At 43.4% G+C, this 15,219-nt stretch overlaps 1 annotated feature.

The window, feature by feature from the left end:
- Positions 7,249 to 7,298: a silencer, noted in NCBI's record as "silent region_8200". NCBI's record gives its function as "represses an Ori minimal core promoter by ATAC-STARR-seq in GM12878 lymphoblastoid cells {active_cell/tissue: GM12878}" and the evidence as "EXISTENCE:reporter gene assay evidence [ECO:0000049][PMID:35858748]".

Genomic DNA, 15,219 nt, shown 5'->3' with positions numbered 1-15,219 from the left:
CTGTTTTAATGAAGGAGGTAGACCACGATCTGTGCTTGTCAAACTTCACTTCAGCTGTAGACTAAGAAGGCACAGGACTATTCACAGGCAATTTGCCTTCTACCTGTTGATAAATATCAGATCATATTTTGTGCATGAGTGAATTAAGAGAACAAAACCATCATGAGATCTATAAAAAAATACAGAAAGAAAAAGATGCGTGATTGGGACGCAGAGAAAGAGCAAAGCACTGGAAACCATCCATTGTCAGATCAATAAGAACATGTCAGGAAACTTTTTTGCATAGGGCACCAAAAGACATGGCCTTTCTGAAACATAAAATCATTAGGAGAAAACAAACTCAGATGAAAAAGCGGCAGGCTTAGATAAATGAAAGTAGCATTAAAAGGGTAATAAAGAAGGGTTATAAGGAAACTAAAAACAAAAGCAGATTAAAATTCGTAATTCCCTTATAAAGGGTAGAATTGATGCTGCCAAAAAAAAATACGATCAGACAATACCTTATATTGGTGAGGACCTGAGACAGCTGGAACTCTTGCACATTTGTTGTGGGAAACAATTTGGCAATATCCACTACAACTGAAAATGCACATACCCTATGGCCACGCAATTCCACTCCCAGACAGACACCCTAGGGCAGTGGGTCCAAATATTGTTGAATGTTAGCATCCCATGATGGTTGGTTGTTTTTTTTCCTCCCCCCGAGACAGTCTTGCTCTGTCTCCCAGGCTGGAGTGCAATGGCATGATCTCGGTTCACTGCAACCTCCGCCTCCCGGGTTCAAGTGATTCTCCTACCTCAGCCTCCCGAGTAGCTGGGATTACAGGAACCAGCCATCATGGCTGGCTAATTTTTGTATTTTTGTAGAGACAGTGTTTCACCATGTTGACCAGGCTGGTTTTGAACTCCTGACCTCAGGTGATCTGCCTGCCTCGCCTTGGCCTCCCAAAGTGCTGGGATTACAGGCATGAGCCAATGCGTGTGGCCAGATTCCCATGCTTTTTTTCTTTCTTTTTTTTTTATTGTTATACTTAAAGTTCTGGAATACATGTGCAGAGCGTGCAGGTTTGTTACATAGGTATACAAGTGCCATGGTGGTTTGCTGCATCCATCAACCCGTCATCTACATTAGGTATTTCTCTTACTGCTATCCCTCCCCTAGCTCCCCATCCCTCAATAGGCCCCAGTGTGTGATGTTCCCCTCCCTGTGTCCATATGTTCTCATTGTTCAACTCTCACTTATGAGTGAGAACATGCAGTGTTTGGTTTTCTGTTCCTGTGTTAGTTTGCTGAGAATGATGGTTTCCAGCTTCATCCACATCCCTGCAAAGGACATGGATTCATCCTTTTTTATGGCTGCATAGTATTCCATGGTGTATATGTGCCACATTTTCTTTATCCAGTCTATCACTGATGGGCATTCAGGTTGGTTCCAAGTCTTTGCTATTGTGAACAGTGCTGCAATAAACGTATGCATGCATGTGTCTTTATAGTAGAATGATTTATAATCCTTTGGGTGCATGTGTCTTTATATTTCATGTGCATGTGTATATACGTGTGCATGTGTCTTTTTAGTAGAATGATTTATAATCCTTTGGGTATATACCCAGTAATGGGATTGCTGGGTCAAATGGTATTTCTGGTTCCAGATCCTTGAGGAATTGCCACACTGTCTTCCACAATGGCTGAACTAATTTACACTCCTACCAATGGTGTAAAAGCGTTCCTATTTCTCCACATCCTCTCCAGCATCTGTTGTTTCCTGACTTTTTAATGATCGCCATTCTAACTGACATGAGATGGTATCTCATTGTGGTTTTGATTTGCATTTCTCTAATGACCAGTGATGATGAGCTTTTTTTCATATGTCTCTTGGCCGCATAAGTGTCGTCTTTTGAGAAATGTCTGTTCATATCCTTTGCCCACTTTTTGATGGTTTTCATTTGTTTTTGTTTTTGTTTTTGTTTGAGGCAGAGTTTCGTTCTTGTTGCCCAGGCTGGAGTGCAATGGCACGATCTCGGCTCACTGAAACCTCCACCTCCCAGGTTCAATCAATTCTCCTGCCTCAGCCTCCTGAGTAGTTGGGATTACAGGCATGCACCATCACGCCTGGCTAATTTTGTATTTTTAGTAGAGATGGGGTTTCTCCATGTTGGTCAGACTGGTCTTGAACTCCTGACCTCAGGTGATCCACCCTCCTCAGTCTCCCAAAGTGCTGGGTTTACAGGCGTGAGCCACTGCGCCTGGCCAATCCCATGCTTTTTAAAATCCAGACTTGGCCCGGTGCAGTGGATCATGCCTGTAATCCTAACAATTTGGGAGGCCAAGGCAGGAGGATCACTTGAGTCCAGAAGTTTGAGACCAGCCTGGGCAACATAGCAAGACTCTGTCTCTGAAAAAAATAAATGTGTTTGAAAAAAATCAAATAAAATCCAAACACCAAAGTTAGACTCTGAACCAATTAAATCAGAATGTCCTGGGGGTGTGAACCACCTGTCAATAGTTTTTGAAGATCCTCACATCATTCCAATGTGCAGCCAATTTGGCAATGACTGCTCTAGAGAAATCTTTGCATGTGTGCACCAGATAACATCTTCTAGAATGTTTACAGAAGTATTGTTCGTAATTGCTGGAACTCAGAAATGTCTTAATATCCATGGACAGAACTGACACAATGTGGTGCATTTATACAATGAAATATTATACCACAGTAAAAAGGAATTAACTGGCGGGGCGTGGTGGTTCACCCCTGTAATCCCAGCACTTTGGGAGGCCGAGGCAGGTGGATCACGAGGTCAGGAGTTTGAGACCAGCCTGACCAACATGGTGAAACCCCATCTCTACTAAAAATACAAAAAAAAAAAAAAATTAGCCGGGCGTGTTGGTGCATGCCTGTAATCCCAGGTACTCAGGAGCTGAGGCAGGAGAATCACTTGAACCCAGGAGACGGAGGTTGCAGTGAGCCGAGATCGCGCCATTGCACTCCAGCTTGGACAATAGGGCGAGACTCCATCTCAAAAGAAAACAAAAAGGAATTAACTGCACCCATGCCCATCAATAAGGATGACTCTCACAAACATAATTGGGGTGGGGGGCAATTCACAGGAGAGCATATACAAATTGATGTTATTTACAGAAGGGAAAACTTTGCATAACTAAACATCACTAATCATCAGGGAAATGCAAGTCAAAACCACAGTAAGATCATATATCGCTCTAGTTAGGATGGCTATTATGAAAAAGACAAAAAATAACAAATGCTGATGAGGAGATAGAGAAAAGGGAACGTTTATGCACTGTTGGTGGGAATGTAAATTAGTACAGCTATTACGGAAAACAGTAAGGAGCTTTCTCAAAAAGCTAAAAATGGAACTACCATATAATCCAGCAATCCCACTACTGTGCATATATCCAAAAGAAAAGGCCAGGCGTGGTGGCTCACACCTGTAATCCCAGCACTTTGGGAGGCAGAGGCAGGTAGATCACCTGAGGTCAGGAGTTCGGGACCAGCCTGGCCAACGTGGTGAAAATCTGTCTCTACTAAAAATACAAAAATTAGCTGGGTGTGGTGGCAGGCATCTGTAATCCCAGCTACTTGGGAGCTGAGGCAAGAGAATCACCTGAACCCGGGAGGCGGAGGTTGTAGTGAGCTGAGACTGCACCACTGCACTCCAGCCTGGGTGCACAGAAAGACTCCATCTCAATAAACAAACAAACAAACAAGGTATTTTATAAGGATACACAGGCCATATGTGTGTTCATATATATCAAGAAATGCAAGAGGATGATAAGCACAAAACTCAGGATAGTAATCACCAGAAAGGAAGAGAAGGCTTCTAAGATGCTGGAAGTGTTTGATTTTTTAAGCTGATAATGGTAGCTTATTCCTTATACATATGTTATAAATATTATTTTGTGTATTTTAATTATTTAATTAAACCTTGAGAAAAGCATTTAAAAAAATTTTTTTTGAGACAGGTTCTCACTCTGTTACCCACGCTGGAGTGCAGTGGTACCATCATGGCTCACTGCAGCCTCAACCCCCTGGGCTCAAGCGATCCTCCCACTTCAGCCTCCCAAATAGCTGGGATTACAGGCATGGAGCACCAAACTCAGCTTGTGTGCGTGTATGTGTGTGTGTGTGTGTGTGTGTGTGTGTGTGTGTGTACACAGGATTTCACCATGTTGCCCAGGCTGGTCTCCAACTCCTGAGCTCGAGCAGTCTGCCCACCTTGGCCTTTCAAAGTGCTGGGACTATGGACATGAGCCACTGCACCTGGCAAAGTTTTTTAAAGATAAAGATTCGGCCGGGCACGGTGGCTCACACCTGTAATCCCAACATTTTTGGGGGCCAAGGCAGGCGGATCACCTGAGGTCAAGAGTTCAAGACCAGCCTGGCCAACATGGTGAAACCCCATCTCTACTAAAAAATACAAAAATGAGCCGGACGTGGTGGCGTGCGCCTGTAATCCCAGCTACCTAGGAGGCTGAGGCAGGAGAATCGCTGGAACCCGGGAGGCAGAGGCTGCAGCAAGCCGAGATTGCACCATTGCACTCCAGCCTGGGTGACAGAGCAAGACTCCATCTCAAAAACAAAAAACAAAACAAAAAAAAGATAAAGATTCATGCATAGGAGCCCTACTTGAAAAATTCTTCTAATATTCAAAGAAAAGAAACAAACAGAAAAAACAGTGATGAAAAGTGTAGCTATAGAAGAGAATAGCCATAATTATACATTTTCTGTCTGCAAGGAAAAAAATTTTAAATTCCTACTTCTTAAAATTAATTTATGTAATATTAGATTTAGATAAAAATTTTGTGAGCCAGGAACCATAAAGAAAAATAGTTTTAAGGCTGAACTACAAACAAAGATAAAATGACATCAAGGTTATTGAGTAAACACATTGGGATAAAGTGGTTGTAGACGTTTTCCCATGGCCTTGAATATTTCCTTAAGTAAGTTCTTGGAAGTAGCATTACTGACACATAAGAGATGTTCAATAAATAGTTGTTAATGCCAGGTGTGGTGGAAAATTTTTATAGTCCCAGCAATCAAGAGGCTGAGTTGGGAGGATCACTTGGCCCTCGGAGTTTGAGTCCAGCCCGGGCAACATAACAAGACTTCATCTCTATAAAAATAAAAATAAATAAATAATTGCAATTAGCATTTATGAATGAACATAGAGAATTCTGTAAAAATATACACCAAAATGTTGTCAGAGCTTACTTTTGAATGGTGGACTACACGGATTACTTCCTTTTGCTTTTTACTTTTCTCTATTATTTTCTTTTTCTACAATTCATACATATGACTTGTGTGATAGTAAAAAGAAAATGTGCTTTTATAAATACAAGAGCAAAGACTCAGACCCTTTCTGGGTCTTCCCTGGAAAAGCTCATGCTCACTGAAAACAGCTTGGCTAAATTCTAAACAACAAAGCTAAAAAGGATCTCTACTCCCAGGTTAGATTCCCACAATCTATGAACCTCCTTGTGGTAGCCAGCCTCCATGGCCCTCAAGGATCCCCACCTCCTGTTATCCATCCCCCATCCCCCTGTGTAACCCCTTCCATGTTGCATCCAGATGGTCGGTGAGACCAGCCCAGCAAGGCAGAAGTGATGGTATGTCACTTATGAGACTAGGGTTTTTTTTTGTTTTTGTTTGTTTTCTCTTTGAAGGCTTATTGTTTTATTTAAAAAAAAAAACTTATACCTTTTATATTTTACATTCACCTCTCAGAATATTTAATAGTACCCATTAATGATGTTATAAAAAAGACCACCAGCTGCTTGAAATGGCTGCAAATTTACCATGTTCTGGCATTAAAATGATTTCAACTCTTTGGAAAAATTAATGTAATAGTAAGTACCAAGATTTCAAATTCCCAGAAGAGAAAAAAAATTTTAAATCAGGAGGAAATTATTTAGTAAAAATTCAAGGATAAAAGGAAATGTTAGAAGGAAGCCAAAATCAAAAAAACTGTAAAAAATAGCATCTTTTCTCCAGAACTAGATTAAAAAATACAGTCAACCCCGCACTAAACCCACTCTGACTTCCATTTTTATTGTCCTCTCCCTGTCAGATCAGTCGCTCTGGGGGAAGCCAGCTACCACGTTGTGAACAGCCCTAGGGAAATGTCCATGTGGTAAGGAATGGAGCCTCCCGCCAACCGCCATGTCAGTGAGCCATCTTGGAAGTGGATTCTCCAGCCTCAGTCAAGCCTTCAGATAATGCAGTCCCAGCTGAGATCCTGACTGTGACCACATAAGAGACCTGAGCTAGAACCACTCGGGTTGGCCACACCCAAATTCCAGATCCTCAGAATCTGTGAGAGATAATAAAAGTTGTTTTAAGTGGCTACGTCTTGGAGTAATTTGGCCTTTCAAAAATAGATACCAAAATACACATCTAAACTGGGTTAGTTGCTTTTAGCACCAGGAAGAGATAAGGAAAAAGAAGAGAGGACAAGAAGGGATAAGGGCTCATCTTTGAGAGGGAGCAAGATTCCTTCTGAAGTAATTATATCGTCAATCATGTGCTACGGGGACCCTTGACCTGTCCCTCAAAATTGGAGAACTCCAAGGGAAGTGCCTATGAGGTAGAAGAGAGTCTGAAACCCAGAGCACATACTCCTTCATTTTCTTAAAGTACATATTAATAGTTGTCAACTCAACTATAGTGGAGCCCAGCATGAAGCTTGTGTGAGCAGTTGTGGGGTGGCACATCTGGGCACAACAAGTATCATACCGCATCCTCTGGAACATCATAGAAGGGGGCCTATGAAGTTTCCACCATGAACTAGGTAAAGTTGGGTAACTCAGGATAGTTACGCCAGTTGAGTAAGAAAGGGAATTGCTTGATGGGAGTTAGAGTGGCTGCGGCTCTGAAAACGTGGCCACTAGCCTTTGAAGGTCCACTGGGCTTAGGACCTTGGACAGAGACACATCACCTGGGCCACGACTTATACTGAGCATGACATCACAGCAGAATCCTACCTGGGACATCACCTAGGTAGAGCCAATCAAGCAACCAAATAACACTGAGGACCCAGTCAGATAGAGAAACGTGGCCTGGCCAAGAAAGGAGAGGTCTCCCTTCTCCACTTCCCACTAGGGGACACTTGGAGCAGCTATTGAGGGGCTGCAAGGAGGAAGAGAAGAGACAGCAAAGGACAAAGCTCTCCTCTGATGCCCAAGCTCGGAGTGGGGTTCTGAACCAGACAGTGGTGGAGGATAAAAATACCTGAACGGCGTGAAATGTTTACTCGAAATGAAACTATTTTAAACTGGAAATGACTGGACAGGGCTGGTATTTATAAGACTGGGCTAACTTCAGTTTTTCCGCTGCTGAGTGTGAAAAGGGATTTTTTAGCAAAAAGGAAGTGAGTTACAAAAATAACGCAAACTTCTTGTTGGCACATGGCTAAGTGGGGCCTGTTCAATTAAAGCAGTTAAATAAATAAATAAGCAATGAGACTTGAGCTGTGTGCTCCACCTCCTCTTGAATGCTAAGCTGATCAGAGGCCTCTGTGATCAGAGTGGCAGCTGCACTCCTCAAGCCCTTTGACAATCACAAATGCAGACATTTTTTGTGTAGGAATCTCCTGCCTCTTGCAAATACTATTCCTTCTTAAAGTCTAGACCAGCTACATTCAATGGAACTTTTTGTGATGGTGAAAATATCTTATATCAGCCAGGCATGGTGGCTCATGCCTGTAATCCTAGCACTTTGGGAGGCAGAAGCAGGAGAATTACTTGAGTCCAGGAGTTTGGGGCCAGCCTGGGCAACACAGTGAGATCTCATCTCTATAAAAAATAAACAAAATTAGCCAGGCATGGTGGTGCATGCCTGTGTAGTCCCATATACTCAGGAGGCTGAGGTGGGAGGATTGCTTGAGCCCCAGGAAGTCGAGGCTACATTGAACCATGATCATGCCACTGCACTCCAGCGTGGGCGACAGAACGAGACCCTGTCTCAAAAAAAGAAAAAAGACAGAATAAAATAAAATAAAATATCTTATATCTCCACTATCTAATATGATAGCCACAAGCCACATGTGGTTATTTAGGGACTGAATTTTAAATGTTATTTAATTTTCATTAGTTTTGATGTAAATAGTGACATATGACTGGTGCCACTACGTGGAACAATACAGTTCTAGGTGGAATTGTACATCTTTCTTTCTACTGAACTTCTGGAAATCTGGTTTCCTCATTGTGCAGTGCAGCGTTTTCTGTTTGTTTGCTACTGCAAACTCCAAAGTGACAGGGTCACTTTGGCTCAAAGCTTCTAATACTTCCACATCACCCACCAATTCTTCCGTAAGTATCCTCAGAACCAAATTTAGAATAACATTTACAATAATGTTTACATCTGGAAAGTTCGAGCACAGATTGGATACCTCAGAATATTAAGGAATAACTAAAATTACATATTGATATATTTACAGATAAAATGGTACAATGTCTGCAATTTGCTTTAGATAATAGAGTGAGGAGTGGATAGAGGAAACAAGACTGTTTGGTAATTGTTGAAGCTGTGATAGGTCCATAGGCATCCCTTAGAGTAGTCTACTTTACATAAGTATAAATATTTTAATTTTTAAAATTTAAGAGTTTTTGACAAAATGGGAAATTGCCTATATTATAAAATTAAGTGAAAGGGAAAAACAGGCTACAAAATTATAAATATACACTATAACAAGGAATTTATGTAGGTGGAAGCACAAATACAGAATGTAGTATAGTGGTTAAGAGCCCAGATGGCTTAGTTCAAATCCTGGCTCTAGCACCAACTTGGCTCTGTGATCTCAGAGAATTTTTTTTTAGCTTTACTAAACCTCAGTCTTCTTATCCACAAACTAAGGATCATACAAGAATGCACCTCTTAATGCTGTAGAGATTAAATGAGCCTATTTATTAAATACTTAGCCAACATCCGGCACACAGTACAAATCCAATTGCTTATCTTTGAGGAATAGATGTATGAGTGTCACCACTGTATTATCGAATCTTCCACCAGAAGTATGTCTTTCTTTTATGTTCAAGGGAAAAATATAGTTTTTAAAAGAAAGGAAAACAGAACAGCTTACTCCATTGCTACTTCCGTGTTCTGAGAAACTGTTAGCAAAGTAAGATAATAATTTATCAGATGTTCTAAACTTTAGCAAAAGAAGAATTCCAGCTTATGTCTGCATAACTGGAATTCCTAATGAAACTCTTTCATGGCTTGGGGATGTGTGTTAGGAAAGCATCTTCTCCAGGCTTCCTCTGGCCCCATGTTGGGTGGAGTCTTGTTTCTGTGGTTGTCCTCCCTATTCCTGACCCCAAAGCTTTCCATACTGACAGGCAGACCACTTAGTAACTTCCTCACAGATAATGCTATACAATATTCCCTTTCTATTGGACTTGCATCTTTCAAATAAAATACATCCTTCCATTGTCACTTTCCAGTTATGATTCCCCTCCTAAGTAGCAATGATGCTAATGAAATTATAGCTTTCTTCTTCTTTCAGTAGTATGAACATCTTACCTTATCCATTTCCCCCACACCCTTTGCACTGGGAGATGGATGTGTAAGACCATAAATAAAGTTCCCATCCTGTTGCCTTTATTTTTGCCCAAGAATAACTGGGCACTGTATCTTTCTTTTCTTTTTTTTCTTTTCCTCTTTCTTTCTTTCTTTCCTTCTTCCTTCCTTCCTTTCTTTCTTCCTTTCTTTCTTCTTTCTCTTTCTTTCTTTCACAGAGTTTTGCTCTTGTTGCCAAGGCTGGAATGTAGTAGCATGATCTGGGCTCACTGCAACCTCTGCCTCCCCGGTTCAAGCAATTCTCCTGCCTCAGCCTCCCGAGTAGCTGGGACCTACAGGCACCCACCACCACACCTAGCTAATTTTTTGTATTTTTAGTGGAGATGGGGTTTCACCATGTTGGCCAGGCTGGTCTCGAACTCCTGACCTCAAGTGATCCACCCGACTCGGCCTCCCAAAGTGCTGAGATTACGGGCATAAGCCACCGCGCCTGACTCATCCTGTTTCTTTCTAATCACAAAGACTGTTTTACATTTTCTCAACTATCATTGTACATTACAGTAACCAAACTGAAATTACATTAAACCAGATTGATGGGAGAGAGAGAATTTAAAGGTATAGATTCACATAACTAAAAAGTCCAAGAGGTACGGTTAGCTTCAGACATGGCTAAATCCAAGTGCCCTAATGTTTTCAGGAATTTCTGTCTCTCCATCATTAGACTCAGCTTTCTGCTGTATTCATTTCATTCTCAGTCTCATTCGAGCTCGGTCTCACGCTAGCTATCATCGTAACAACTCTAAGAAAGCATATCTCATTCCTAATCATTTGAGCAAAGTCCCAGAGAAAACTCTCATTGGTCCAGGCTGAGTCACGTGTCCACCTCTGAATAAATCACTGAGATTTTGATAGACTCTTACCAAGTTGCATATTCACCCATGAAGCCAAAGGATGTGTCGACCCTCTTCAGCTGCATAGACTATGAAAATGCCTGGTTTTCCTTCAGAAATAAAGAGGTTATTAAAAGAAGATGGCAAAAGAATGCTGAGCAGACAAAAACAACAGCTGTTTACTATGTAGCCCACAGAAATCTTTTAAGTGTCCTTTGATGTCATTGGGTAATCTGCCCAGCACATTCTTCCCCGACTTTGCGGTACTCTCTGTGTTTTGCCAGTAGCCTTGTACTCTAGCATCTTGGGCTCTGGCCCAGGAAATGAAATCCTCACCAACACCATCAACATCTTTTGCTCACCAGCTGCTCACTCCCAACATCTTTTCTCTTCTCCCCAAAGTCGCAGCCATCAGCCAGATGAAAAGATGGAACGGCCCCAAATCCTTCAATGTCCTTCTCAGAACTTTAAAACTTCCAGACACATATTTCAAATTTATTTGGACTGTGCCATTTATCCGCACATGAGTCAGCAGAAGTGGGTAATGGCTAGAGACTCAGTGCAAATATTCCATCACCTCACATCCAGAAACATGGTGCCCCTCTGAGCATGCCCCAGCTGGTCTCAGGAAAGAGTCAATGCATTCTGGGAAAGCACAAAGGTTGGGGTTTTGTTGTTGTTGTTGTTGTTGTTGTTTTCTACCTGGCTGTGGCTGCTTCTTCCATATGTATACATCACAGTACCTGGCAAAATATTGAGGACATATGAGAGGTTCAATGATGTATGTCCTGTTTCCACTTTGCCCTTTCCAAGTGCCCTTAAGAAACAAACAAACAGGCTGGGCGTGGTGGCTCATGCCTGTAACCCCAGCACTTTGGGAGACCAAGGCGGGTGGATCACCTGAGGTCAGGAGTTCGAGACCAGCCTGGCCAACTTGGCAAAACCCCGTCTCTACTGAAAATACAAAAATTAGCTGGGCATGGTGGCTGGCACCTGTAGTCCCAGCTACTTGGGAGGCTGAGGCAGGAAAATCATTTGAACCCAGGAGTCGGAGGTTGCAGTGAGCTGAAATTGCGTCACTGCACTCCAGCCTGGGAGACAGAGCGACAGAGCGACACTCCATCTCAAAAAAAAAAGAAAGAAAAGAAAGGAAAAAAGAAACAAACAAACAAAACAGAGCAAAACAAAATAAAGTTAAAAACTCAGCAGAAGTGGCCAGGCGCAGTGGCTCACACCTATAATCGCAGCACTTTGGGAGGCCAAGGTGGGCGGATCACGAGGTCAGGAGATCGAAACCATCCTGGCCAACATGATGAAACCCTATCTCTACTAAAAATATGAAAATTAGCTGGGCGTGGTGGCATGCGCCTGTAGTCCCAGTTACTTGGGAGGCTGAGGCAGGAGAATCGCTTGAACCCGGGAGGCAGAGGTTGCAGTGAGCTGAGATAGTGCCCCTGCACTCTGGCCTAGTGACAGAGCGAGACTTTGTCTAAATAAAAAAAAATTAAAAAAAAAAAACTCAGCTGAAGATGGGATCAGGAAAGAAATGCTGGAGACTTTATCTGCAATGTGTTTTTCAAGCTAGGTGGTGGGTGCATGAGCGCTCATTGTATTATTAGCCAGTCTTATGAAACATTTCATACATTTTAAAATCTGCAGCTTGTCTTAGTCCATTTTGTGTAGGGAATACCCAAAGCAGAATAATTTCTAAAGAAGTAGGTTTATTCAGCTTCCACTTCTGCAGGTTGTACAAGAGACATGGTGTCGGCATCTGCTTGGCTTCTGGAGAGTGCTTCTGTGCTGAGTTAAAATGTGGCAGAGAAGGTCAAAGCGGAAGCAGACGTTTAAGAAGAGAAACTAAACCTGAAGGGCATCCTGGCTTCATAACACACCCCCCTCCCCAAGTGCAATCTCATGAGACCGAGAACTCACTACCTCAAGAATGGCACCAAACCCCATGATCCAAGCACTTCCCATTAGGTACCATCTCCAAAATAGGGATCAAATTTCAACATGAGGTTTGGAGGAGACAAATATGTAAACCATAGCAAACCTTAGCACAGGTTGCAACCCAAGCTGGCAAAACAAAAAGGATGTCAGTGCCCGACTTGATTTCCCACAGTCCAGTGGATGATATCCAGGCTCCATGCCTGGCATCCAAGGTTCTTGGTGACATGGCCCACATGTTATGGACTGAATGTCTGTGTCCTCCCAAAATTCATGTGTTCCAAGTCCTAAATCACAATGTAATGGTATTTGGAGTGGGGGTGGGGATCCTCAAGATGAGATTAGTGCCCTCATAAAAAGAAGAAGAGACAACAGACCCCTCCCTCCCCTCCCCTCCCTCCCTTCACCCTCCATCCCTCTCTCCACCATGTGAGAACATAGCAGGAAGGCAGCCATCTGCAAGCCAGGAAGAAGGCCCTCATCAAGAACAAAATCTGTCTGCACCTTGATCTTGGACTTCCAGAACTGTGAGAAATAAGTGTTTGGACTGGGCACCGTGGCTTACGCCTGTAATCCCAGCACTTTGGGAGGCCGAGGTGGGTGGATCACCTGAAATCAGGAGTTTGAGACCACCCTGGCCAACATGGCGAAACCCCATCTCTACTAAAAATACAAAAATTGGCCAGGTGTGGTGGCAGGTGCCTGTGGTCCAAACTACTTGGGAGGCTGAGGCAAGAGAATCACTTGAACCTGGGAGGTGGAAGTTGCAGTGAGCCAAGATCACGCCACTGCACTCCAGCCTGGGCAGGAGAGCAAGACTTTGTCTCAAAAAAAAAAAAAAAAGAGAGAGAGAGAAATAAATGTCTGTTGTTTAAGTTCCCCGGTCTATGGTGTTTTGTTATAGCAGCCTGAGCTGACTAAGTCACCACTCTCCCTCCCGCAGCCAGAGTGTCAAGCATCTTGAACCATTCCCAGTTCCCTGAATATGCCACGTTCTCCCTGGACTGGGCACTTTGGAGTCTGCCTTCTCTTCCTTTTTTTCGCTTAATTAACTCCTGTTTGTTTATTGTATTTGGTCAAGTAGGCTAACGAAAAACTCCCATAATGCAGTGGCCTGAAAGATATAAATTTTCTCATGCCTGTAATCCCAGCACTTTGGGAGGCTGAGGCAGGCGGAAGGCTTGAGCCTTGGAGTTCAAGACTAGCCTGGACAACATAGTGAAACCCCATCTCTACAAAATAGACAAAAATTAGCTGGGCATGCTGGCACGCTGGCACGCGACCATGGTCCCAGCTACTCAGGAGGCTGAGGCGGGAGGATTGTTTTAGCCTGGGAGACAGAGGTTGCCGTGAGCTGAGATCACACCATTGCACTCCAGCTCGGGTGACAGAGTGGGCCCGGCCCCCAGTGCTTCGCATTTTCTACACTGAATACATTTTGAGTAAAAGTGTGGAGTACCCACTGCATAACTGCAGGGGCCAGGGAAAAATGAAAATATGAGACCCCTTTTTCAAAACTGAGAATTTTAAGATGGTAACAGCGGAGCATTACACCAAGCATCAGGTCCTTCTGCATGCAGGGCCCTCTACACCTGCACAGGTCGCATACCAGAAAGCCAGCCCTGAAAGCAGGAGTAAATAAAGGAGTGTAGTTTAGTAACCTGAATCATCCTGCATAAGAAAAGCTACGTATCTGTTGTGTATCCCTATGCAGTGCATGGAGATGAATCAAATCGTGCTTGTAAATATTTGGGAAAGAACTCTTTGCTACCCTACAGGCTACGTTGAATAGAGGTCATCCCCACGGTGAGGGCATTTCCCATTTCCCTTTGCCTTGTCATTTGCAGGGTAGGACACCACAGCTGGTGGGTTGCTAGCTCCTTAACAATCCAGATGTGTGGCGTCTCATCCTCCATTTGCCTCCTGCAGGATCCTCCTTTCAGTGAGTCATCGAAGCAGCAGTAGTCATCACAGTAATTTTCTTATAGCCTCAGAGACTCTTGGGGTTGGGAGGACCTTAGAAATCATTGCCAAGTTCTTCTCTGGCATCTGCTCAAACACCTCTAGCAACAGAGAGCTTCCTACCTCCCCAGGCAGCTCCTTCTGTTTTTGACAGCTCTGCAGATAGAGTTCTTCCTAAAGTTGAGCCAAGATCTACTTCCTCGTGACTTCTACCCACTGGCTCGGAGCCACACAGGGGAATTGTAATACCACTCCTGGGCCCTTCAGGTGTCTCAAGAGCTCTAATGTTCACCCAAAAGCAGAGGATGTCACCAGGCAGCACGAGGTGGAACACGGGCCACAGAAGTACTGTGTTTGGCCCAGACAAGGTTAAACTTTTGTTTTTTTGGATTGGTTACCAGCATTGAAAAATCTGGAGAGTTTATATTAAATGTAGAATTCAAGTCTCTAGAACTTGGAAGCTCTAGCAATACTTGGCTCATCTAATCCCACAATCCTATTTGCCACTAAGAGGACTAAAAATCGGTAGTGGGTGGCCAAGTGGCACCCTGCACCACAGCCAGCTGCCTTGGCTACTTGATATCCACCATGCATCCTCATTTAATTTAATGTTAGGACCCTTGTACTGATGAATATGTTAATGTACCCAGCCTCCCTACTACGGGAATAGCCAATGGGTTATAAACTCAAGTGTTTAAAGGCCGGGCGTGGTGGCTCATGCCTGTAATCCCAGCACTTTGGGAGGCCGAGGCAGGTGGATCATGAGGTCAGGAGATCGAGACCATCCTGGCTAACATGGTGAAACCCCATCTCTACTAAAACAAATACAAAAAATTAGCCAGGCATGGTGGCGGGCGCCTGTAGTCCCAGCTACTCAGGAGGCTGAGGCAG

This window comes from Homo sapiens, chromosome 17 (assembly GCF_000001405.40).
Source record: "Homo sapiens chromosome 17, GRCh38.p14 Primary Assembly".
Taxonomy (NCBI): Eukaryota; Metazoa; Chordata; class Mammalia; order Primates; family Hominidae; genus Homo; species Homo sapiens.
Note: the sequence above shows the minus strand (reverse complement) of the source record. Positions and strands in the feature narration are given on the sequence as shown.